At 39.5% G+C, this 26,774-nt stretch overlaps 1 protein-coding gene and 1 long non-coding RNA gene across 38 annotated transcripts in view, besides 3 other annotated features; one reads left to right on the top strand and one right to left on the bottom strand.

Moving 5' to 3' along the window:
- The window catches only part of PRP4K (pre-mRNA processing factor kinase PRP4K), a 43,684-nt gene extending 40,384 nt beyond the window's left edge, over nucleotides 1-3,300 (bottom strand). For all 35 annotated transcript variants that reach the window (XR_007059353.1, XR_007059354.1, XR_007059355.1 and 32 more), the window contains exon 1: nucleotides 3,134-3,300. Coding sequence is in view for 2 of the 35 variants with exons in the window: in NM_003913.5 (NP_003904.3) it covers nucleotides 3,134-3,174 (41 nt within the window). In the remaining 33 variants the exon portion in view is untranslated. The remainder of the gene's footprint in view (nucleotides 1-3,133) is intronic.
- Nucleotides 2,058-2,117: an enhancer, noted in NCBI's record as "active region_23896". NCBI's record gives its function as "activates an Ori minimal core promoter by ATAC-STARR-seq in GM12878 lymphoblastoid cells {active_cell/tissue: GM12878}" and the evidence as "EXISTENCE:reporter gene assay evidence [ECO:0000049][PMID:35858748]".
- Nucleotides 3,160-3,469: an enhancer, noted in NCBI's record as "active region_23895". NCBI's record gives its function as "activates an Ori minimal core promoter by ATAC-STARR-seq in GM12878 lymphoblastoid cells {active_cell/tissue: GM12878}" and the evidence as "EXISTENCE:reporter gene assay evidence [ECO:0000049][PMID:35858748]".
- LOC124901245 (uncharacterized) lies at nucleotides 3,433-22,098 on the top strand. 3 transcript variants are annotated; one of them, XR_007059414.1, is made up of 3 exons: nucleotides 3,433-3,556; nucleotides 5,721-5,780; nucleotides 6,033-22,098. It is a non-coding gene; the product is annotated as an uncharacterized LOC124901245 (long non-coding RNA). The 3 variants fall into 3 exon arrangements; XR_007059415.1 differs by having other exon boundaries at nucleotides 3,433-5,780; nucleotides 13,000-22,098; XR_007059413.1 differs by having other exon boundaries at nucleotides 3,433-5,780.
- Nucleotides 5,999-6,048: an enhancer, noted in NCBI's record as "active region_23894". NCBI's record gives its function as "activates an Ori minimal core promoter by ATAC-STARR-seq in GM12878 lymphoblastoid cells {active_cell/tissue: GM12878}" and the evidence as "EXISTENCE:reporter gene assay evidence [ECO:0000049][PMID:35858748]".
- Nucleotides 22,099-26,774: the final 4,676 nt, after the last annotated feature.

Raw genomic sequence — 26,774 nt, 5'->3', positions numbered from 1 at the left:
CCAACCACCAGTGTTATTTTAACTTCTTCTTTCACATTTTTTTCCAAACAATAGTCTTAGTGAATTTATTTGGTAGGCATTCAAAATATACAGAGACACAGAGAACTGACTGATTTAAATTTGTGTATGAATAAAGCCGTTTTTAAGCTAGACAATTCTTTAAATTTTTTTTTAGTGGCGAGCAAAGTGAACGCCACTGCTATTTACCAGGAAAGTAATTAAGCCTATTTCTCTGACAAGTTAAAATGTATATATCTTTTAAGAAACTGGGTCTCACTATGTTGCCTGGGCTAGATTCAAACTCCTAGGCTCAAATGATCCTCCTGCCTCAGACTCCCTAGTACCTGCAGCACTTGAGCCCAGTAGTTCAAGAACAGCCTGGGCAACATGGGAAGACTCTGCCTCTACAAAAATACTTAAAAATTAGCTAGGCATGGCTCGGCACGGTAGCTCACGCCTGTAATCCCAGAACTTTGGGAGTCTGAGGTGGGCGGATCACGAGGTCAGGAGATCGGGACCATCCTGGCCAACAAGGTGAAACCCCATCTCTACTAAAAATACAAAAATTAGCTGGGCGTGGTGGTACGTGCCTGTAATCCCAGCTACTCGGGAGGCTGAGGCAGGAGAACTGCTTGAACCAGGGAGTCCAAGGTTTCAGTGAGCCAAGATCGCACCACTGCAATCTAGCCTGGAGAGAAAGTGAAACTCCGTCTCAAAAAAAAAAAAATTAGCTGGGCATGGTGTCATATGCCTGTGGTCCCAGCTACTCCGGAGGCTGGAGTAGGAGGATCACTTGAGGCTGAGGCTACAATGAGCCATGATAATGTTACTGTACTCCAGTCTGGGTGACAAGAGCTCGTGTTTCAAAAATAAATAAAATGAACAAAAAGAATTAATGTAGCTATAAAAATCAGAATGGGTCCAAAAGACCAACTAGTCTTAAAACATTCCCTCTGGTCTCTGCTTTGCCAAATCAGGTTTGAGAAATTAGTTCTCAATAAATTAGACATGTCACATCAAAAAATGTATCTTTCTGGGACAGTGGAAAAAAACAAAAATAATTTCATACTTGACAAGCAATTTAAAAAGAAGCCACATTGTATAGTGGGAGGCCAGACAGTACAATAGTTAGCAGCAGGGCTTTAGAACCAGACTGCCTGAGTTTAAATGGGTGTGCCACTGAGTGTGACCTTGAGCAAGTTACTTAATTTCTCTGTGTTTCAGTTTCATCATCTCTAAAATAAGGAAAATAAACGTATCTACCTCCATAGGGTTGTTAAAAGAATTAAAGCCTTCAGGGAGCTTAAAAGCTGCTTCTTATATTTATTCTTTCTAAATTTTCTGTTTTGAATAGATTCTATATAACTGTAAACTACTCAGTGTTCTCTAAAGAACTGTTGTAGACACTATATTCAGGGACTCACTATGAGCACCAGGCATAGTTTGCTTTCATACCAAATGGTTATCTTCTTTGTTAAATACTTTCAAACTACTGAAAGTGAGACATATACAGACCAAATATTCCATTTACACCAAGTGCTCTGTGGGGAAGGGAAGGGAAATTAAAGATTATCTCTGTTACTCATACAGCAGAGGCCTAAATATGTATTTTTGAAATTATTAAGTCTAATATTATTTGAATACAGTATGTGAATAAACTATGGCTGACCCACTCCTGGAAATGAATCTGAAACATCCCTAAAATCAAATAAATGGACATAATATTACAGAACTTTTCAGATTAGTAGAAAATGTAACCACATAGCATGAGATCTGCACGGTACTGGCATAAACACTGTAATTGTGCCACACAATGAACTTGGTGAGAAACAGTAAGAGGTTAAAGCTAATTTAAAACTTCAGAATCCATTTGTTCTCTGCTAAGTCAAATTGTAAAAATAATACAGCAGTTTTGAAAAGCCCTTAATTAAAAATTCCGTTTCTCTGCCTAGCTGAGTAATGCAGATGATTGAGGAGCCCAAAACTGGATGCACAGCAATTAAGTGTCAGGTTGTCTGGTGGCAAAGATTTCTTCTATCGCTCAGTCACAAGTTGCTGGGAGACTATACCTCTTTCTAAGATGGCTGGAAACAGATCAGACAGTGCAGATGCAAAAAAAAACAAAAAACAAAACAAAAAAAAAAAACGGTCGCTATAGGAACATTGCCGTAAAATCCATTCTCTCTGTTAAGGTTCTTGTTTGAGTTTTCCTAACATAGACATGAACAGCAAAATACTGCTTTAAGTTAACCAATGGTTAACCTTTGCAGCATACACTCGTATTTTTTTTTTTTTCATTTTTCATTTGGCCGCATGGATTCTTAATGTTAGCTTAATTATAGACATAAAGTGGTTTGGCAGTAGCTAGCAATTCCCACTACTCCTTCCACTCGTCCTCCTAAAGAAGGGTTATAAACTCAGGCAAAAAAAAAAAAAAAAAAAAAATGCCAGGCCTCAAAACCAAAGACTCTATCTTACTTTGCCTCAAGTTTGCAAGTTGGTAAAAAAGCTGCCGGTAGGCACTCAAAACAAAACAAAACAATACTGGGTGACTGCTGGACTAAAGAGTACAAGGTGACGAGATCAAGTATCCCGCTAGCCACAGACTAGCTCTGGGATGGCCAGAGAGTGTGACCCCAGCACCTCCGCTCTCTGCTTTCAGGTCCTAAACTGACACCAGTAAAAGGACGACTGGGGGTACCGCATGAGGAAGAAAAGACTTAGGGCTTGGCCCGCCTGCTGCCACTGACCCTCGTGTCCCCAACACAGATGCCGCTAAGAGCTGCGGCCAGGGAGCTCAGATGGGTCCCCAAAAGAGGCATAGGAAAGCGCGACCTCACTGCCGCGGCAGCCGCCACGCGCACCGGACCTGTAGAGGCCGCTCGCGCCTACGCCTCCCGGGGCAACGACGCGCGGCAGGCCGCGGCCGCCTTCACCCCAGCAGCCACGGCCTCTGGGAGAAGGAAGCTCGAAGGCCGCCTGCTCCCCATGCCTCCCACCCCACAACGAATCGCGCCGGAAAAAGCAAAGTTTGACTCTCGCCGTTAGGCCCGAACTTTCCCGCCACCCCGTGCAGCTCCCACTCGGCAGTCCCCGGGCTCCAGCTTCTGGCCCACTCACAGAGACTACTTACTCTGGCTGCTCCCGTAGCGACTGGGTCTCCGCGGCGGCCATCTTGAACTTCCTGACTCCTCGGCGGCGGTGGCGGCGGCTCCCGGACGGTGGAGGGTAGGGGAAGTGGAGGAAGAAGGAAAAGAGCTGCCGCGCATGTGCCGACCGTGTAGGGAAGAGCTGGGTTCTGAGTCCGCGCTAAGAATCCGGATATAAAACCCCACGTCCCGGGACTAGCGCAGGGCGTAGTGTCGCAGCTTCCGGGAGCATGGTGGGCGGTGCTGCTAAGGATTGAGGTCGAGTGTCAAGCTTGAGCTCTTCAGTCAATGCTAGAAATGGACGTTTAGTTATTGAATCCCGCTAACGAGGGGAGCCAACAAGAGAGGGATGTCGGCATCGGGTGTGCGGTTCCAAGAACTGATTGGCTGTGGAGATTAGAAGTTAGGTGAAAATTCTCTTAAACTCGGGCAAACGAATTGATGATTTTTCCCCTGGTCGGTGTTAGAGACACAGTAAATGCTTAACCATCTCGCTAGACAGCTCAACTGAAGTGGCATTAACTTCCCGGGAAAGTGTGTAGAAAGGCATTTTTAAATACTGTAAACTCGAACGTAAATATCTTTTAATGTGGAACTGTTACTACATTTAACACTGAACATCTTTTCAACTTTTACATAGTTCAAGGGTGACACGATTCAGTTCGTTATTTCCGTAATTGGAACGTGTAATGTTTTTTGGCCCAAGTTGCGTTATGTGATTTTGTTTTCTTCTATAACGACTCTACAGTAATGGGGTAGAATGGAATATTGTGGGGAAAACATTTACTGGCTCTTGGAGAACTCTCAAAACCAATTAGGTTCTTTAATTCCTCTTTAAAAAAATATTTCTCGCCTGGCGCTGTGGCTCACCCCTGTAATCCCAGCACCTTGGGAGGCCGAGGCGGGCGGATCACCTGAGGCCAGGATTTGGAGACCAGCCTGGCCAACATGGTGAAACCCCGTCTCTATTAAAAATACAAAAAATTAGCTGGGCGTGGTGGCGCTCGCCTATAATCCCAGCTACTCCGGAGGCTGAGGCAGGAGAATCGCTTGAACCCGAGAGGCGGAGTTTGCACTGAGATCACGCCACTGCACTCCAGCCTGGGCGACAGAGCAAGATTCCATCTCAAAAAAAAAAAAAAAATTATCCATACTTTGGAACCTGGAAGCAGCGTGACGATCACTTTCATTCTTGTAATCATCTGAGTTTGCCTTTGTCCTAGAAAATTGAGTTCGGAATCTCCAGACTCCATACATATCTCTTGATTTCCAGGGGAGAAGGGTTTTAAATGTTCTTACAAAATGTCTCTTGTTGCCTGAATTCCAAACGTTTTGAAATGTTAGGGCCGGGCGCGGTGGCTCACGCCTGCAATCCTCTAGCACTTTGGGAGGCCGAGGCGGGCGGATTGCCTGAACTCAAGAGTTCGAGTCCAGCCTGGCCAACATAGCGAAACTCCGTCTCTGCTAAAAATACAAAAAATTAGCCGGCGTGGTGGCGCCTGTAGTCTCAGCTACTCGGGAGGCTGAGGCAAGAGAATCGCTTGAACCCGGGAGGCCGAGATCGCGCCATTGCACTCCAGCCTGGGCAACAAAAGCAAAAACGCCGTCTCAAATAAATAAATGAAATAAACTTAGTAAACTATTTTTAAATAATGTTAAAATTAACGGTGTACGTAGTAGAACTGTGAGAGATCTCATCTTGGAAATAGAGTGATATACTTGAAGGCAAGAGATTGGGTCAGGTACTATTAACACGTTTTACACATGAACAAACCGACACTAAGAGGTAAGGTAATTTGCTTATGATTGAGTTCCCAAGTACAAAGCTGATTTTTGAACTAAAATCTGACTCGAAAATCTGCTCTTTTCTTATCAGGCTGCTTCCTACAAAAATATAACCTCGCTTAGCATCTGCTTGTTAAGCATCCACCCTCACAGCTCTTTGGCATTCAAATGTTTGTTGAGTAGGGGTAATAGAGCACTACGTTCGAATCAGAAAATGCCTTATTTTTCCTTGCTTGCAAGAGCCTATTATAAATAAATGCCTTGTTTTCGCTGTGTCTCTTTCTTGTTGTCGAGAGCTCAGGCTGGTCTTAATTTCTGCAACCATAGTATTATCTCCCAGGTCTCCTTCTGCCCTGTGTATTTTGCAGTTATGCTTTATGTGGAGATGAAGCATCCTAAGTGTGGAGAACGATATATGGGGCCCGAACAATAGGTGCTGAAGCCAGATTGTGTGACTAAAGTTGGTATTTGAACAAACCAAGTGTTTATTTTTTTAAAGAGCATGGTAAAAACTAAGTTTCAAAAATCGATGCTGGCAAAAATTTCCTTGAAAAAATTCTCACCAAGTTCACTTGCACGGTACTACCTGGGGAATGAAACACATTTGTCAAGGACACGCCCAAAACTATGTTGCTGTTGTAATTTTCAAAGACTGGGAACTGCGGCAGGGGGAGTTACAATTAAAGCAAACATCGGCGTATCAGTTTATTCATTCAGCAAACGTTTATGAAGCAACAAACGTATGCCCAATATTTCAGTCTTGCTGCTCTTCCTCCCCAAATTCAGGAACCTTTGCAACGGAAAGCGGCCTCGGGCAGGCGCCTTTTGAGCAGAGGAGTAAAACCGGTAAGTCAGCAGTGGAACCCGCCTCCCCGGAAATCCTTGGAGGGGGCGGGGCCCTGGGGAGCGCGCTCTTCCCAGCGGCAGCTGGGGAGGCGCATGCGTACTTGCGTCATCGTTGGGTAGCAGCGGGGAGGCGTGGGAGGATCTGAGGCCTGCGGTGGGCCTTGGTCCCTTCTCTCCCCGCCCCGAAGCCGCCTGCTCAACCTGAGGGCCACCGGCCTCTATCCGTCGGTGCCGATGCTCCTTGCTTCCCAGCCAGAGCGTCTCATCTCTGGGCCCGGAGCCCCAGGCTCGTTCTCCTCAGCCCCTGCCGGCGGCGGCGCTCTTGCAGCCATTCCTGTGAGGTCGTTTTTCGGAGCAGCCGGGCCGGCCGAGGAGTAAGTAGGCGCCAGAGTTCTAGCTCGGGCATCTGCCTCGGGGCCCTGTCGCCGCCGCGCCCCGGATCCTGCGTTGGTCCTGTCCGATAAAGCGGAGGTCGGCCCTGCTTGCTGACGAGACCGTAAAAACCACGGCGCTTGGCGCCCTGCCGCCGCCACACCACACCAAAGTGTACCTGCCCGAGGCTGGCTTCGGGCGCGAGCTTGCATTTGTGACTTTCTCTTACCGTCTTTGTTTGCTTCGTTTTAAGTATTACTTCCAGATAAGGGACACATTCTCGAAATACTTTGAAAACAGTTTTGAATTTTGTTCCTCCCGTTGAAACGGATTAAATTTGGACCTTTCAAGCTACACTGTGCAATCATCAATCTCAATAAGCTCTTAATAGGCTCATTCTTCCGTAGGCTACAAACAAAATAAAGATCATAACATCCTGCGGAGGAAGCCATTGGTCCATGTAGAGTCGCCAGATGTCAATTAAGAGTAGATCGCTTTTCAGAGAATACTTAACGACTCTGGTTTAGACCTAGACTTGGAACTTTGAGGTGTTTGGAACACTGGGCAGAATTTTCCTTTGTTACAAAACAAAGTTTATGAGAACGTAATTTGTTTTTGTTGTTTTTGTTGTTAGTATTGAAGCAATTTTGGTGCAAACCAAAGGATAACAAAGCAAAACAATGAAAATCACCCAGAGTTCCATTACCCACACTGAACCAACTTGAATATATTGGTTTATTTTGGCTTTTTTCCATATGAAATGTTAAATTTTCTTGTACTCACGTGTAGAATATGATAGTTTGCTCTTTCATGTAACATGTCTCCCAATTTTTACATACATAATTCTAGTTTCAGTAAGCATTTTTATAACTACACTCTTTTTCCTTTGTTATTGTATGTCTAGGTTATTTCAACTTTGCACTGTTGCTTGTAACTACTATGTGATGAGGCAGTAGCTAGATTAGTATTTAGAACGTGAGCATTCAAGTCAGGCAGACCTGGGCTTCACAACTTACTGTGCAATTTCAAAGAGTTTAACTTTTTTGAGCCTCATTTTACACAGTAACATGGGGATAATGGTTCTGATTGCATAGAATTATTATGAGAGTAAGATGAAATAATGAGTGGAAGTGCCTGCAGCATGTATTGTTAGTAAATGCTGTATTACTGCAGGCAAATTTTTCTTTTGTTGTGGTTTTTTGGTGACATGTATGATTTATTTCCAGATTTTGAATATACTTAAATACTATTAACCACAGTAGGGGTATGGGGTTTGATCCACAGCTTTTCATATATTTTATACAATATATTGTGTGTTTGATACACAGCTTTTCATATACTTTATTATAAGTAACACATGAATTAGAAATAATTTTTCACAATAGGAAAAACTTTTTAAAAATTAAAATTTATAATCCTGCTAACCGTAGGTGAATAGTCACATTTTGGGCAATCCTTTTTTATGCATATATATGTAGTGGTTTTATTTTATTTTATTTTATTTTTATTTTTTGAAACGGAGTCTTGCTCTGTTGCTCAGGCTAGGGTGCAATGGTGCGACCTCGGCTCACTGCAACCTCCGCCTCACGGGTTCAAGCAATTCTCCTGCCTCAGCCTCCCGAGTAGCTGGGATTACAGGCGCCCGCCGCTGCGCCCGGCTAATTTTTATATTTTTAGTAGAGACGGGGTTTCACCATCTTGGCCAGGCTGGTCTCGAACTCCTGACCTCGTGATCCACTCGCCTCAGCCTCCCAAAGTGCTGGGATTACAGGCATGAGCCACCGTGCTGGGCCTGTAGTGTTTTCTAAAAATAGAATTATATTATAAATTGGGTTTATCAACTTGCTGAAAATGGCAGAGGCCAGTGCGATGAGAGTAGGGTGATTAAGGGAGTAGGAAGTAATGCAGGAAAGGGAGTTTGTAGGATTTAGATTTCACTGAAAGTGTACTGGACAGGTTGGGCATAGTGGCTCAGGCCTGTAATTGTGTCACTTTGGGAGGCTGAAGTGGAAAGATCCCTTAAGCCCAGGAGTTCGAGCCAGCCTGGGCAACATAGGGAAACCCTATCTCTATAAAATAAAAATAAAAATAATTATTTTGAAAAAAAAGTTTACTGGACAGAGTAAGTTCAGGGTTGAGGAGTGACCTGATTTGTTTTAGAAGGCTCATTTGGCTGCCATATGGAGATAGACTGCAAGGGACCAGGGGAGGAAGATGCAATCCAATTAGGAGAGTATTTAAGTAATCTCTGTGAGAGATGGTGTTAGTTTCGATCAGGGTGTAAGTAGGGAAAAATGATTGGGTTCTGGATATATTTTGAAGGGAGAAGTTATAGGATTCACTGATTGATGGGATGTGGAATTCAAGAGAAAGTGACTTAAAGAATTTTGGTTTGGGCAGTTAAACAGATACAGTTGCTACTTACCAAGATAGAGACTGAAAGTTGGGGGAAACTAAATAGAGTTCTGTTTCAGTCATGTTACCTGTTGTGGAGTCTAACTAGTTGGAACAGGAGTATGAAAGACTTAATCTTCTGTTCTTGAGGTATCAATTTGTCCCTTCATTTCTGTCAGTTTTTGCTACATATATTCTGTTACTAGGTGCATCTATCCTTGTAAATTGTTACATCTTCCTTGTGGGTTTATCCTTTTATCATTAAAAATGTTTCTCTTTTTCTCTAGTAACATTGTTTTAAAGTCTATTTTGTCTGATATTAATGTAGCTATTTCAGTTCTCACGTGATTACTATTTACATGCTTTGTATCATTGACTCTAAAATGTGTCTCCTGTAGACATATAGTTGGATCTTGGTTTGTTTTTTGTTTGTTTGTTTGTTTTTTGTTTTGAGACAGAGTCTTGCCCTGCCTCCTTGGCTGGAGTACAATGGCGTGATCTGGGCTCACTGCAACCTCCACCTCCCGGGTTCAGACGATTCTCCCACCTCAGCCTCCCCAGTAACTGGGATTACAGGGGCCCGCCACCACGCCCAGCTAATTTTTGTATTTTTAGTAGAGACGGGGTTTCACCATGTTGGCCAGGCTGGTCTCAAACTCCTGACCTTGTGATCCACCTGCCTCGGCCTCCCAAAGTGCTGGGACTACAGGCATGAGCCACTGTGCCTGGCCGGATCTTGTTTTTTTTAATCTGATAATTTCTGCCTTTTGATCCAATTGTTTAATCATTCACATTTAATGTTATTGATATAGTTGGATTTATGTATGCCATCTTATTTTTGTTTTCCTTATGTCTTGTCTTTTTCTTTTCCTGTCTCTCCTTTACTGCTTTGTTTTGGATCAAGTGAATATCTTCTAATGTAGCATTTTAATTTCTTGAATGATTTTTTACACTGTTTTAAGTTTTTTTTAGAGACTGTAGTGGTGCTCTAGGGCTTACCGTACAATTAGCTTAACTTATTAGAATCAGCTTCAGATTTATACTAACTCAATTGCAGTGAGATATAGAAACCTTACTCCAATATAGTTTTATTCCATGTCCCTGTTTTTTTGTGGTTTTGTTGTTGTACATGTTATAGTTGTTACAAACTCAACAATACATTACTACAATTATTACTTTTACATCATTTAAAGAAAATGAACAAAGGAAAGCAAATATATATTTGTAGCTTTTGTTATAGTAACCTTATTTATCATTTCAGGTTGTTTGTTTATTTTTCTTGTGGATTCATTACCATCTGGAGTAATTTTGTTTTCTTTTTCTTTCTTTTTTTTTTTTTTGGAGGGATAACAGGGTCTTGCTCTGTTGCCCAGGCTGCTGGAGTGCAGTGTCATGAATATATCTCACTGTAGCGTCAAACTCCTGGACTCAAAGTGATCCTTCCACCTCAACCTCCTGAGTAGCTGGGACTACAGGCACATGCCACCAGGCATGGCTAATATTTGTATTTTCTGCACCTCAGCCTTCTGAGTAACTATATTACTCTATAAGCACACATCACCACACCCAGCTAATTTTTAAATTTTTTATAGAGACAGAGTCTCACTGTGTTGCTCAGGCTGGTCTCTAACTCCTGGCCTCAAGTGATCCTCCAGCTCTGGCCTCCCAAAAGTGCTGGGATTACAGGCATGAGTTCTTTGTATGAGTTCCTTGTATATTTTGGATATTAACCCCTTGTTAGATAAAAGGTTTTTCAGTATTTTCTCCCATTCCGTGGACTGCCTTTTCATTTTGTTGTTTCCTTTGCTGTGCAGAAGCTTTTTTGTTTGGTTTAGTTCCATTTGCTTATTTTTGCTTTTGTTGCCTGTGCTTTTGGTGTCATTTACAAAACAAACAAACAAAATTATTGCCAAGACTAATGTCATGGAGCTTTTCCACTGTTTTCTTCTAGTTTTACAGTTTCATGTCTTACACTTAAGTCTTTTCACTTTTTTTTTTTTTTGAGACAGAGTCTCCCTCTGTTGCCCAGGCTGGAGTGCAGTGGTGTATGATCTTGACTCACTGCAACCTCCACCTCCTGGGTTCAAGTGATTCTCCTGCCTCAGCCTCCCGAGTAGGTGGGATTATAGGCATGTGCCACTGTGCCCGGTTTATTTTTGTATTTTTAATAGAAATGGGGTTTCACCAGGCTGGTCTTGAACTCCTGACCTCAAGTGATCCACCCGCCTCAGCCTCTCAAGGGACTAGGATTACAGGCAAGAGCCACTGCGCCTGGCCTCTTTTAACCATTTTGAATTGACTTTTGTGGATGGGGTAAGATAAGGGTCCAATTTCATTTCTTGGCATGTGGTTATCTAGCTTTTTCAACACCATTTATTAAAGAGACTATCCTTTCTTTATTGTGTACTTTTGACACCTTTGTTGATGATTAGTTGGCCACATAAACGAGGATTTATTTCTGGGATTCCTATTCTGTTCCATTGGTCTATATGTCTCCTTTTATGCCAGTACCATACAGTTTTGATTACTGTAGGTCTGTAATATAATTTGAAATGAAGTGTGATGCCACCAGCTTTGTTCTTCTTGCTCAGGATCATTTTAGATATTCTGGGTCTTTTGGGTTCTGTATGGATGTTAGGAATTTTTTTTTTTTTTCTGTGAAAAATGTCATTGGAGTTTTGCTAGAGATTGCGTTGAATCTGTAGACTACTTTGTGTATTGCAGACATTTTGACAATAATGATTCTTCTGATCCTGAACATGGGATAGCTTTCCATTTATTTGTGTCATCTCCAGTTCTTTCATATATGTATTATAGCTTTTAGCATACACATCTTTCCCCTCCTTGGTAAAACTTATTCCTAAGTATTTTATTCCTTTTGATGCTATTGTAAATGGGATTGCTTTCTTAATTTCTTTCTTGGATACTTCACTGTTAGTGAAGTGTAATTGATTTTTGTATGTTGATTTTGTATCCTGAAACTTTACTGGATTCGTTTATTCATTCTAACAGTTTTTAGTGGCGTATTTAGGGTTTTCTGTATATAGGATGATGTCACCTGCAGAGACAATTTTACTTCTTCCTTTCTGATTTGGATGCCTTTTATTTCTTTTCCTTGCCTAATTTCTGTGGCTAGGATTTCTAGTACTATGTTGAATGTAAGTGATAAGTGTGGGCATCCTTGTCTGTCCTTGTCACATTCAGTTGTATGTGCAATACTGGAACCATCCAGCTCATAGTCACGTAATTCCTCTTTGTGCAGCCTCATGTAAAATCACACCCCTATTCACATTTTTTTCTGTCTGTCTCCCACCTCTCCAGGTCCCTGCCCTGCAACTTTCAGTTACTTCAGACTCTCAGAAGACTAGCCTCTAAATACCTCAATTTATCTGCACTACTGTGGTCTACTTGAAATTCTCTTCCCTCTTCTGCAGTTTGTAATGGCATTCAGGCCAAAAACTGTAGTAGTTTTAGGGCTCTCTTCATTTGCTTCTCTGCTCCTAGGGATCATAGTGCTGTGCTATCTGTTGTCCAGCATCTGACACAGTTGGTTTTATATTTTGTCTGGTTTTCTAGTTATTAAGCAGGTTAAGTCTGGTTCCTGCTGTTCTATATAGCAGGAAGCAAAGGTTCTCTCATGAATTTTTAGCATAATAACATAAGCGTGGATTCCAAAAATTCATTACACAGATCCTGGAAATCTGTTTACTATGTTTTATACATTCTGTGAAAGCTGGAGAATATATATTTGTTTTACTATGTGTATCGCAAATAAAATATCAATTTCATGTGCCAGAGAATTGAATACATTATCAAAGGGTCATTTCATAACGTTATAATCACCATCCATCCTGTAAGTCCTTTGAAATTTCTTCTTTTCTATGGATCTAACATTGATCAATAACGAATTCCTAAGCATCTATATTAGTTAGCCCAGTGTTTCTCAAAGTCCACCGCATGTAAAAATCATCTAGGGAATCTTTCTAAAATGTGGATTCTGATTTAGTAGGTCTGGGGTGAGGTCTTCCCTTTTGCAATTCCAGCAAGTTCCCATGGGATGCTGGTACTGGTTAATGGAAGTCACTTAGAGTAGCAAGGAGCCTGTTTGCCTAGTATTTACAATGAGCACGTTTTGGGTATCATCAAAACAAGAGAATCTAAAAATGTATGGTGTGGGTGGAAGGTTGTGTTACTTGATATTTCAAAAAGATCATTGAAATCAGAAAATCTCAGAGATATGTTGGATTTCATCACATTTATTCTATGGCTTAATGTTGTTTTATTTTGAATATATAATAAGAGAGATACCACAAATCTTTAGCTATTAATATTTAGGGATGTTAATGTCCTTAATTCATATTGTCTCAAATGTGATTCATTCCCTCTATAGGTATACTAAAACAGGCATTCATGCCTACAAAACCATCTTCCTAACTTTCTTTCCTCTTTTTAGTCTCTTCCTGAACCAGTGACAGTGGTTCTCAAACATTTTGGTCTGAGGACCCCTTTATGGCCTTAAAAATGATCGAAGAGCTTTTATTTATGAAGGTAATACCTGCTAATACTTGTTGTAATCTATTAACATTGAGAAATGTAAAAATTTTTATTAATTCACTTAAAATATCAATAAACCCATTATTTGCTAATATAAATTGCACTTTTTAATGAAAAATAACTTTAGTTTCTACTGTGTGCTTCTGCATTTTGAAAATATGTCTAGGATACGGTATGTATTTAGGAGATATTTTCTAAATAAATGCATATTCATTTTTTAAAATGGGACAAATGTAGCATAGACATATTTTTGCTAACAATATCCATATAGTTGCAAATTTCACTTTTAGAATTTGCTTTCAAAAACAGGTTGTTTATTCTTCTTTGTTATGCCTTAGTTAGTAAATCATATATTATAAAACTTCTTCAATGCAATTGGTCTTTGGTCAGCCATTGACATAGGAAGAGTTAGAAAGAGTCCAGGGCTCCTTGGTACTGGCTGTGACTGGATAAGTAGGTTGTGGCTTAGTTTGTGTTTAGGTGTCATAACTAGGCTAGGTTTGGGTCCCAGAAAGTGCTAGCCTTACTGTAGGAGAGGAAGTGGTATTGCTGGGTGTGTCCTCAGGTCAGGAAGTGGGACGAGTGCAGTATGGAAGCCCAGGGGGGTCCTTGTGACTGGAGGAAAGGTGAGGTTTCCAGTAAAGGATTCAGAATTCGGGCATGGTGCAGCATGCCTATAGCCCCAGCTACTCAGGAGGCTGAAGTGGGAGGATCACTTGAGACCAGGAGTTCAAGGTTGCAGTGAGCTGTCATTGCGCCACTGCACCCCAGCCTGGGTGACAGAGTGAGACCTGTCTCAAAAATAAATACATAAAAATAATAATTAAAAAAAAAGGATTCAGAATTCTAGAATACATATTATCTTTCTATCATGCAGATCTGTTCTTAGGATTGTATTTTCCAAATCATGAATAAAATAATTTCCAAAATACTTATTGGGAAATTATATATATGTACTGTATTACTTGGAATAAAAATCAAATAAAAGTCAAACTTCTTAATGTGGCTGTAAAGCCTTGATTATTTAAACCTTGCCTATTTTTCAGTTTAATCTTTCAGCCACACTGGCCCTTGTGTTAATCCTAAAACATGCCATGCTTTTTCCTACATTAAAGCTTAGGGTTTTTGATATTTCTACTGCCTGGATTTCTCTGTTCTCACTCTTCCTCTTGATCACCATGACTTATTTTTCAAGTGTTGGCTTAAATGTCCGTCTCACAGATAGCCCTTATCTAAATAACAGCTTTCCCTCTGGTTCCTAGATAAATTAGGACCTGTTTTTTTCTATAACTTTCTTAAAGTATCCTATTATTTTCCCTGATAAAACCTTGTTGGACTGTTTGTCAGTATATTTATTTGCCTGTTTGTTTGGTGTCAGTTTCTCTTTTTTTCCTGTGTGTTTTGTTTGTTTGTTTTTTTGAGACGCAGTTTCACTCTGTCACCAGGCTGGAGTGCAATGGTGCAATCTCGGCTCACCACAACCTCCACCTCCCAGGTTCAAGCAATTCTTCTGCCTCAGCCTCCCGAGTAGCTGGGATTACAGGCATGTGCCACCATCCTGGCTAATTTTGTATTTTTAGTAGAGACAGGGTTTTTCCATGTTGGTCAGGCTGGTCGCAAACTCCCGACCTCAGGTGATCCGCCTGTCTTGGCCTCCCAAGGTGCTGAGATTACAGGCGTGAACCACCGCACCCGGCCTGTTTGTTTGTTTTCTTATTAGACTATAAACTATATGAGATCAGACCATGTCTCTTTTGTTTATCACTCTGGCCTACCTGCTAACACAGTGCTTACACATAATAGTAGGTGCTCAAGAAATACAGTGTTTGATGGATGAACGTAAAATTGTAAGAGCCTGAACTAGTGTAATATCGAAAATAGGGAGGAAGACATGAATTAGGAAAGCCTTTGAAAAATTAGCATGTTCTGTGATAAAGCTACATCTAGGCAATATTTTTTGATACTTTTAAAAAAAAAACTGTAATAGCTACCCAATATTTAGGAATGATACACATCACACATCTCAGTGAGGTATGTAGCCTTTTGTACTGGTGAAGAGAGCCAGGTGAAGTCTAACTCTAAGGATCTAAACACTCCATTCTAGTAGAGAGCCTGGAGAAGTGCTCTTGCATAAGCTCATCCATGTAAGACCATCCATAACTTAGTGAAATAATTTTCATTGCTGTTTAGTTGCAAAAATCACTCACTGTTTTGCCTCCATAAGATTATCGGTTTTAGTGTTTAATCGTTCACAGCCTTGTCAAAACCAAAATGGCTAGGGAGAGAACTATTTCCCTACATTAAAACTTCGAGCAATGCTCTTCATAGATTTTGTTTTGAATTGTTTAGGCCCATCTCAGAGTTCAAGACACTTAGTCTCTTCTAAGAGAAATCATGGTCACAACAAACAGAGATTAAATAAAGAGCAAGAAATTAGAAGAAACTCAAACCATTCACTTAGATTATTTGTTAGATTTTGGCCTTAAAAAGAGACAAAGTTGCTTGAAACAAGTGATTAAACTGACATTTTTAGATTATTATTTTATTCATACCTTTATTGTGAATAAATTGGCCACATGATAACATTTTATAATGTTAAATAAATATGATATATATAAATCTGTATACCACAACAATTAAATTGGAGGGCGATTTGCCATTTAAATAATTTATCATAGGATTTTTATAAGATCAAGCGCTTAGTGCATATCAAAGAGACAGAAAGTTTTCATTGCAGTTCTGCACGTTCACTGAGTACCTTTTATGTACCAGTTGCATTGTTCTAGAATCTTATCTATCATGTAAAGCTAGGTACACCTGAAATAGTTTAGTTATGGTGGCAAAGTTAGACTGCAGTTATTGGCTGGGAATTTTTTGTATATCTATGTACATCTTCCATAAGAGGGCAGCAAAGGACCAGCATGATTTTTTCCTTATCATGAAGTCATAGCAGAGATTGCCTCATATTGCAAACTTAATAGAAATCTTCTCAGAGTAAGGGCAAACAGAGGGCATGGTTACAAGTTTACTTACTGTCTAGCCTGTCTTTTATATGGTCTGATATGGCTTTTTAGTACATAGATTATCTCACATCACAGTGATAGCCTAGTGATTAAATGTTGATCCTGGGGTCAGTTGTCAGGCTTTAAATCCTGGAACCATAACTTAACTAGCTTCGTGGTCTAGAAAGACTACTCAGTCTTTCTGAGCCTCAGTTTCTTCCTCAATTTTTTATAAAAAGGAGGGCAAGGGATAGTAACAATGCCACTTCACATGGTTTTAATAAACAAAATAAAATTTGTGTCCTGAAGAGGCTAAGAACAGTTAAAAGGTGGAGCTAGAAAAACCACCCTATACTAGCCTTAGGTGTATTGTATTTATTTAAGTTAAACTCTTATTAAAAAGAGTCTCATAAAGGAAAATATAGGTCATTACTTTCTGTAACTACTTAGTATTTTTAGTTAACTAACATATATATCTATGTACTGACCAATTATTTGCTCGTACAATTTATCAAACCAATTAAATATACACTGTTAAATTTATTTCCCTGTCCCCCGAGACAGATCCTGGCTACGTTGCCCAGGCTGGAGTGCAGTGGCGCGATTTTGGCTCACTGCAACCTCTGCCTCCCAGGTTCAGGCAATTCTCCTGCCTCAGCCTCCTGAGTAGCTGGGATTACAGAGGCCTGCCACCATGCCTGGCTAATTTTTGTATTTTTAGTAGAGATGGGATTTCACCATGTTGGCCAGGGTGGTCTCAAACTCCTGACCTCAGGTGATCCAGCCGCCTCGGCCTCCCAGAGTGTTGGGATTACAAGCATGAGCCAGCACGCCTGGCCTGAAAATACATTTTGATGAACAAAAAATTTTTAATTTTTTTTTTTTTTTTTTTCCTGAGACAGAGCTTTGCTCTGTCACCCAGGCTGGAGTGCAATGGCGTGATCTTGCCTCACTGCAACCTATGCCTCCTGGGTTCAAGCAATTCTCCTGCCTCAGCCTCCCGAGTAGCTAGGATTACAGGCATGGGCCACCATGCCCGGCTAATTTTTTGTATTTTTAGTAGAGACGGGATTTCACCATGTTTGCCAGGCTGGTCTCAAACTCCTGACCTTGTGATCCGCCCCCGTGGCCTCCCAAAGTGCTGAGATTGCGGGCGTGAGCCACCACTCCCAGCCAAAAATTTTTTAATTTTAAAAGTCAATGTATATCATTTGTATTTTATAGTTAGTGCTTTTTTTGTATTGTTTAAATTTTTAAAATTCTTCCATTAATCTAAAATATTTTCATGTGTGCTTTCTACTAAGAGAATTTAAGTTTTGTTTTTGACATTATAGTTTTTAATACATTTGGATTTGGATCTTATATCTTGTATGATACAGAACTCTAATTTTCGCCTTTAACTACATGCATAATCATTTTTTCCACCTCCACTTATTGAATAGTTCCTAATTTTCCCATCAATATCATGTGTTTCTTCTGGCATAGCCAAAGTCCCATAAATGTGTGGGTCTGTTGTAGTTTCCTATTTAATTCAGTTAATTTGTCCAATTTGTTTTATTATGCCTTAATTACCACAGCTTCACAGTAAGTCTTTATGTCTGATAGGGCAGCTTCCTCTAGTGTCTTCAGAAATTTCCTGACTTTAAAAAAAATCCTTATTGTTCATGCTTTTTTAAAGAATTAGCTTTACATGATGCAAGAAAAAGATCTGTTGGAATTTTGATTGTAATTTTGTTAAATCTATAGGTCAACTAATTACAATATTGAATCTTCTTATGCACAAACATGGTATATTTCTCCATTTATTCAGGTCTTTATTTAATGTCTCCTAATGTCTTTTTGTAGTTTTTACTTAGAGATCTTACATATTTGTTATTATATTTACTCCTAGGTACTTGGTATTCTCTAAGATTATTGAAAATGCTGTCTTCTTTTTAATTACATTTTCAGGTATTTGTCATTGGTATAAAGAAATGTATTTGACAATAATCTTATATTCACCTTAAATTCTCTTATTTCTAATAAATTGTACTTTTTTTGGTTTTCTACAAAAATGATCATATCTAAAAATAAAGTTAGATTTGTTTATTCTTCTGCATCATTTTGAATTCAGTTTATTATTTCATGTGCTATTAGAACCTTTAATTTAGTATTATTTATTTTTTGATTTGTAAATCGGAATGCTTTTATTATCTTTTCATTTAGGATGATGTTTACTGTAGGTTACTTAGATACGCTCTATGGAAATCTCTTTTATTTTTTCTAAGACCTTTTATTATGAATTTAATGTTGAATTTTATCAAATGCTTTCTCTGCATTTATTAGAATAATTATGATTTTTCTCTATCTGTTATTATAATGGGTCAGATTTATAGATTTTTCTCATACTAAGCCTATCCTTGTATTCCTTGGATAAATCTAACTTGGTAATGTTTACTTTTTTCATAACTTTTAGCTATTAAGTAGATACCAAATTTTCTTTCAAGGTCAAGTTTGATAGTTATAAAAAACTAGTGATACTAAGTCATAGAAAATATACTTTAAAAAACTAGTGATACTAAGTCATAGAAAATATACTTTATTTTATAAAAAGACTTTAACTGTAAAAAGTAAAAAAAAAAAAAAAAAAAAAAAAAAAAAAAAAAAAAACCTGGCCGGGTGCGCTGGCTCACCCCTGTAATCCCAGCACTTTGGGAGGCCGAGGCAGGCAGATCACGAGGTCAGGGGATCGAGACCATCCTGGCTAACACGGCGAAACCCCGTCTTTACTAAAAATACAAAAAATCAGCCGGGCGTGGTGGTGGGCGCCCGTATTCCCAGCTACTCGGGAGGCTGAGGCAGGGGAATGGCGTGAACCCTGGGGGGGCGGAGCTTGCAGTGAGCCAAGATTGCGCCACTGCACTCCAGCCTGGGAGACAGAGCAAGACTCTGCCTCAAAAAAAAAAAAAAAAAAAACCCCTAGAATTTTAATTACTGCCTTTACTTTTAATTCAGTGGTTTTTAGTATATTCACAGAGTTGTGTAACAATCACCATGATCAATTTTAGCATATTTTTATTACTTCAAAAAGCAACTCTGGACTCATGAGCAGTCATTCACTCCCCATCTGCTCCCAACCCCTTTGTTCCCATCCGCCCACCCAGCCCTAGGCAGCCACTAATCTACTTTCTGTCTCTACAGATTTGCCTGTTCTGGACCTTTCATATAAATGCAATCAGGCAAAAGAAAGGAGATTTCAGTGCTCAGTGTTGCCAGGTATCTCTGCCTCCAGTTTTGCACCTTCCTGGAAAGCTCATTTTGTTCAGATTGTCTGCCTGCCTCTATCTATCCTGCCTTCAGTGGATGGCAGAGATTTCATCTCTTTTGTTTGCACAGCCTTGAAAGGTGCTTGATACAGAGATGCTTGGTAAATACTTGCAGAATAAATTATAAAAGTAACACATACTCATAAAAATTTTAAAGTAAAAATATGTATAGTAATAAACACTTGGTGCTTATTACATATCATCCAGTGGGATAAATGCTTGTAAGTATAGTCAGCCTTCTGTTTCCCTGGGTTCCAGATTTGTGGATTCAACCAACTGTGGCTCTAAAATATCTGGGGGGAAAATGGCATCTGTACTGAACATGTACATACTTCTTTTCTTGTCATTCCTTAAACAATACAGTATAACTATTTACATAGCATTTATACTGTATTAGGTATTATAAGTAATCTAGAGATTATTTAAAATATACTGGAGGATGTGCATAGGTTATATGCACATACTATGCCATTTTATATCAGAGATTTGAGCATCCAAGGATTTGGGTATCTGCAAATTTTGGTATTCTTGGGAGGTCCTGGAACCAATCTCTTACAGATACCAAAGGATGGCTGTATTCTCCATTCCTTTTCACCAGCTGAGATCGTACTGTTATCTGCACTTAACAGATTAAGAAATAGGTGTGATGAGTAATTTGTTTAAATTCTGTGGTTGATTGTGTTACTTTTCGACTGTATTCTGTGCTCTTCCCTACAGGAGGATTATTCATTCCTGTTTACTTGAATTCAGGCAACATCATGTAACTTGATTTAAGGAACCGATACATGAGTGGAAATTCTGTGTGGCATTTCTGAGCAGAAGTTTTATGAGGCAGCACATGCTCACTGTGTTACCTGTTCCTTCTGCCATGAGACTGGCAGATGGACATTCTCTATCAGCCAGGATATCAGAATGAAGAAATGTAGAACATAGACCAAAACACCAATGAGAAATAAGCGTTTGTTGTTTTAGGGAAAGTGTGTTACCACAGCATAATTTAACCTATCCCAAGTGAATACATATTCATGGAGTTAATATCTATACCTGAAAATTGAAACTCAGGTTGTCTACATCTAACTATGCCTCTGTCTTTTCCAAAGGTATAAAGTAGGAGAAACTTCCCCATGATCCTACTCTTCCAGTGTTAACTACAGTTAAAATTTAGTGTAAAATTGTTTAATACTTTTTCCTATGTGTATGTCAATGTTCATTTTTTTAAAACTGGGACCACTTTATATGACACATACTATTTTAGAGCTTCCTTTTCCTACTTAGTAATATAAAATGGACCACTGTCACAGGTTAGGTTTTCCATAAACAGACACTGAGTTTGGAATATAAGATTATTTTCAGGGATCATCACCTTTAAAAGGAGAAGTGAAGAAGTAGGATTGGGGAGAGCAAGAAGTAGAGCTGTGATGCTGGCCCACAGATGTCTCTCTGGGGTTCGTATTGTTTGTCAGAGTTATCCCATATCTTGTAGAAGTGGCCATGCTTTTCAACCCACTCCTTACTCAGTGGCCTGATGTGGGCTGCCCTGAGCAAGGTAGCTTTCTGCAGCTGAAGCAGACACTGAAGTTGCTGGCAGCTAACTCCATCTTTGCAGCTGGGCAGCAAATCCTTTCTTGAAGTGGGATCTGGACATTTATATTTGTCTAGCACAGTTCATTTTTTGCATCACTTGGAAACCCTTCTCTGTTTTCATTCCTTTTGTTCTTAATGTATATTCTCAAGCCTCTTGTCTACAATCACTAGATAAGTTTGTTGTAAACTGTCTTAACTATAAAATGAAGAAGGTATAGGTAACTATAATATGAAGAATGCATTGGAAGTGTAAATTTTAAAGGAGTTTGCTGATTAATAACTCTTTTGTTGTAACTTTTGTTCAATGATGTTTGACAAATACTTTTTTTTTTTTTAATTTGAGGCAGAGTCTCACTCTGTTGCCCAAACTGGAATGCAGTGGCATGATCTCAGCTCACTGCAACCTCCGCCTGTTGGGCTCAGAGATCTTCCCGCCCCAGCCTCCCGAGGAGCTGGAACTACAGCCTTGTGCCACCACACCCAGCAAATTTTTGTATTTTATTGCAGAGATGGCATTTCACCATGTTGCCCAGGCTGGTCTTGAACTACTGGACTTAAGCAATCCGCCCACCTGGGCCTCCCAAAGTGCTGAGATTACAGGCATGAGCCACCGCGCCTGGCTGACAAATACTTTTTAAAAATATCCAAGTTTCTGGATTTTATTCACCTCTACAAAAATGATTTAAGTCCTGTAGAAACATGTGCCCACAAATGACACAGTAATCTCCAGCAATGTGTTCAACAGCACGTTGAGCATAATTGAGCATAACAGACATTTTTAAATTTGTTGTCTCAAATTCCATTTAGATTTGGCTATTGATGCAAAATTAGGGAGGTCATTTTTCACTAGATTACTTTCAATGCTGGAATCCATACTTAAAAAAAAAAAAAGAAGAAACTAGATTTAGTATATCTTTCTTTGCCACTTCAGGCTTCCAAAGGAGAAAAATTCATGGATAAGTCATTAACTGTTACAAATGCATTATGTCTTCAGTTGTGATGGTTATGATAAAACATGTTTATTTTATATTTGTAATTTAGTAAAATTAGTTGATTCAAGGAGCTCTATCATAAATGGGAAGTAATAAAATGATAATAATTAAAGCAGGTTATTTTTCTCTGGTCATTTTTGCATTCTTTGTAGCTCATGAAGTAGATTTGTTGCTTTCATCTGTGTCTGCCATGTATGCTAGGCAGGAAAGAAAGGAAGTAAGAAAGATATAGCCATGTGGGGAAAGGAGACAGAGGGAAGGAGGAGGAAAGAGAAGGAAGGAAATAAAATCAACTCTTCGTTTTCTGCACTTTCCCTGAGCAAGTTCTTTTTTATTTGTGTGTACAATGAATCTGCGTTTCTCCCTGCCACGCCCCCTCCCAACCCCTTTGGCTAATAGAAAGCTCTGAAAAAAATTTTGAAACTTATATCCAAATGCAGTGGATATAAATAAAGTTATTTCCCCTGGCTTTTCAAAAATATGAGTGAGTGTTGGATATTAGAAAGCTACCTTACTTCTTTAGATCGAGACCATCCTGGCTAATACGGTGAAACCCCATCTCTACTAAAAATACAAAAAATTAGCCGGGCGCGGTGTTGGGCGCCTGTAGTTCCAGCTACTCGGGAGGCTGAGGCAGGAGAATGGCATGAATCCGGGAGGCGGAGCTTGCAGTGAGCAGAGATCGTGCCACTGCACTCCAACCTGGGCAAAAGAGCGAGACTCCGTCTCAAAAAAAAAAAAAGACAGCTACCTTACTTATTGGAAAGAGATGATCTGTGTGGTCAGTATCAGTTTCTTCACAGGAAAAAAAAAGTAGATTAGTAATAGTGTTTACTAGGCACAGTGCTTTACATTTCTTTACTTAGTTCTCAAAACAATCCCATTACATAGGTATTATCCCATTTAACAGTTGAGAAATCTCAGTCACAGAGAGTTAAGTGACTCCCCAAAGTTCACATGGCTAGTAAATTATGGAGCTCTGGATTTCATGCCCTGAACCAATGTGCTATTACAAGCCACATACTAAGGTTAATACACAAAATACATGTCATAAGATAGGCTCCAAATTGTTTTAGAGCTTCCCAGCAGTCAAACAGAAAAAAGGAAGCATGGTTATTTTCAAGACTTAGGATACATATGATAAAAGCAAAGCAGTTACTCAGCGGAAGTGCACCTTCCTCAGAAGTTGGGCCTGGAAAAAAACTTCAGATATTTATAAAATTGATGCCATACAATGTTGTGAACACTATGTTTCAAAACTGCCCCCTAAAATAGTATGAAGCTTTTTTTTTCACATGACAAATATATGAGAAACCATTATTATTATTATTATTACTGTTTTGAGACAGTGTCTTGCTCTGTCAGCCAGGCTGGAGTGCAGTGGCTCACTGTATCCTGAAACTGCTGGGCTCAAGGGATCCTCCTGCCTCAGCCTCCCAACTAGCCAAGACTACAGGCACACACAACCATGCCTGGCTAATTTTTTTTTTATTATTTTTTGTAGAGACAAGGTCTTGCTATGTTGCCCAGGCTGGTCTCAAACTCCTGGCCTTAGGCAATCAATCTTCCTACCTCGGTCCCCCAAAGTGTTGAGATTACAGACATGAGCCATCACGCCCTGCTGAAACCATTATCTTATGATTTCTGATATGTGACTCTTTCATTGTATGGCATGATCCAAGGATAGATTATACATCGATTCAGTGAACGCATGGACTCTATTCTTCTGAGCAATCCTCCATGAGTATGTGTTTTGAGGCTAATCTTTTGATAAGGATAGACTAGCAAAGAATTTGATTGATTCCGTCAGGACTCTAGAGTAGAAATATCATGTATTGTCAGTTAAAGGCAGATCTTTGAATTTTAACAAAGCCAGCAGAAGGCAGGATTCATACACTTCCAGGTATGTCTGAACAGAAGCCTGCCTGACCACAACACAGATGTGATCGTCTAAGAGTCTTTCTTGGTGTAAAATCCCATGATTCTACAGGGTTTATTCAGATCCTAGTGTCTTAATGAGTTGATGTAAGAGTACAGTGCTATATTCTATGAGGGTGTTATTATTTGTAATGAAAATAGGGAGAATAATTACACATTCTTGCTTTCTTTGGATCAGAGCTTCTTTACTGGTAAATACTCCCCTTTTCATATTTTTGTACCAGTCATCATAATTTCAAAAATAGTATAATACTGTATTCTAAGCATAACATTTTAACTTGTGTTTATATGTGAGAAGTTTAGAAAATATAATAAGAAAAAATAAAAATCTCCCACAATCCTACTGGAGGCTATGAATCTTCTCACTCCCATCTTTTCCTGCACACATGCCAACGAACTAAAAAGGATCAGAATATGCACACTGTTATGTAATCTACCTCATTCATGTAATAATGTATCATGGATGACTCGATGCCATTACATATTAATAGACATAGTGCCTGCAGAGTATTATGTGGACACACTCAGGGCTGATGCTCTGCTAGTATCTTCAAGGCTGCTGGAATAGCCATGCTGGTTGCTAAAATATGGAAAGACTTCCATACTGGTTAGTAAATGGTGCTGCCCTGAGCCCTCTGAATGCCTTCCCACTGGACCTCCCCCCCATCACACTCCCCAGCAACTAAAGGGTTAACGCCTGTCCCATCTGGGGCCTCTAGGATCCTGCTATAGTAGTGTGGCCAGCCTGCTTTCTGATTGATCAGTGCCCATACCAATGGTTAAAATTTTGGATATCATTCTTAAATGTATCATACCACATTGTTGGTAATATTTCGTGTGCTTATTAGAAAGTATTTTTCTGTTAAATATATATATGTGTGTATATTTTTAAGTCTTCCGACAGACTTCTTTGACATGTTATGTCTTCAGGAAGCCATAGGCTCTCATGGGAAATTGGTGTCTGGAATTATCACTGCATTAATGTAATAATATATATTTACTAGAACAGTGGTTTGACATATGAAAATCTTAATTTATACACCAAGCATACTTGAATGTAGACTTTTCCTTCTCTATAGACCAGAAACCATGGCATTTATTTGGAATTGCTTGATGTCACTTTAAATTGAGACATTCAATCCATTCCTCTTTTGAATATGAAAAACTTTTTCCTTTAAGACAATAGTATTTTAGACTTCACCATCCTCCCATACTGTTCTTTTATATTTCTTCATGTTCTTTCTTCACTAATCCATTTCTAACACACCCATATAATTTTTCAGATTTTTTTCATATTTCCATTTTTAATATTCCACATTATATGGGTAATTTTTTATAATCTGGCTTTCTGCATTTGACCTCATACTAGTTACCAGCTTTTATTTTTTTTAAATAAACAGCTTTGTTGTAAGGTTCATTAAAACAAAACAAAATTTCTTTTTTTAATTGAGTTAGGGTCTCTCTCTGTCCCCCAAGCTGGAGTGCAGTGGTGCGATCTTGGCTAACTGCAACTTCCGCCTTACGAGTTCAAGCAGTTCTTTGCCTCAGCCTCCCAGGTAGCTGAAATTACAGGCACACGCTACCAAGCCTGGCTGATTTTTGTATTTTTAGTAGAGATGGGGTTTCGCCATGTTGGCCAGGCTGGTCTTGAACTCCTGAGCACAAGTGATCCACCCACTTGGGTCCCCCAAAGTGCTGGGATTACAGTCGCGCAACACCACACCTGGCTAATTTTTGTATTTTTAGTAGAGATGGGTTTTCGCCATGTTGGCCAGGCTAGTCTTGAACTCCTGAGCTCAAGTGATTCACCTGCCTTGGCCTCCCAAATTGCTGGGATCACAGGCGTGAGCCACCACACCCAGCGAAAAGAGCAAGTAATTCTTGCAAATTTTTTACCCAAACCTTTAGAATGTGTTCTTTTTTTTTTCTTTTTTTTTTTTTTTTGGTTTTGGGTTTTTTTTTTTTTTTTTTTTTGAGCATTTATGAAATGGCTGTGAACTTCTTCTAACTTCTAACTTTCCAAGTTGTCTCCTTTTGGCCCTAGGAGTAGAATTTTTCTTTAATTCTCAGCTGGTGAGATCTGTTGCCACCACAGTTCAAAATAACGATTAAGTACTGAGGCCAGCCCATGCCTGATCCTTCAGTGATGTTAGGAAGGTGAATGCTTGGCTGTTTGAAAGCCTCCTTATTGTCATTTCCAATCCATTCTCTCTGCTTCTATTCCTTTTCTCCCAAAACATTTCAGTGTTGTCAGTTCATACTCTGGAGTCTTTGGAAAAAGAGATTGTTGTCTTTTTATGAATTTGTCCAAATTTTAGTTGTTTCTGGTTAAGTTTAGACCAAGAGGGATCCATGTCCCTACAGGATTACCCCTATTTCAACCAGTAGATGAGGAATATCCAGCTTTAATTTGTCAGAGCAAAAATCCATTAATGTTTTCTCATTACTCATAAAAAAAAATCCAGCTCCTTACTGTGGCCTATAAACCTCTCCATGATTGGCCCTCCTTAATTTATCTCTTTTAGTCTTGAAGTTTCAGGCACACCTCCTTTTCTTTTATTGAAATTCTCAAAGCCAGGTACAGTGGCTCACCTGAGTTTATTCAAGGCTAATCCGTAATTAGGGAAATAAAGGTTACAGCTGCCTGTTAGTGACTCAGGTCGTATAATCACATTCCTTTAAGGCTCAAAATAACGTTCCAATAGCTTTGATTTTGAATTACTTATTTTCACAAGTTCTATAAAATTACAGAGTTCTCATCTATTTTTGTTGGCAGCTGTTTGCCTAGCAGTTGAAAGTGCTTAGCACATGATAGTATATGATAAACATTTGTTTAATTTATTTCAATATTGT

Source organism: Homo sapiens, chromosome 6 (genome assembly GCF_000001405.40).
Source record: "Homo sapiens chromosome 6, GRCh38.p14 Primary Assembly".
Classification (NCBI taxonomy): Eukaryota; Metazoa; Chordata; class Mammalia; order Primates; family Hominidae; genus Homo; species Homo sapiens.
Note: the sequence above shows the minus strand (reverse complement) of the source record. Positions and strands in the feature narration are given on the sequence as shown.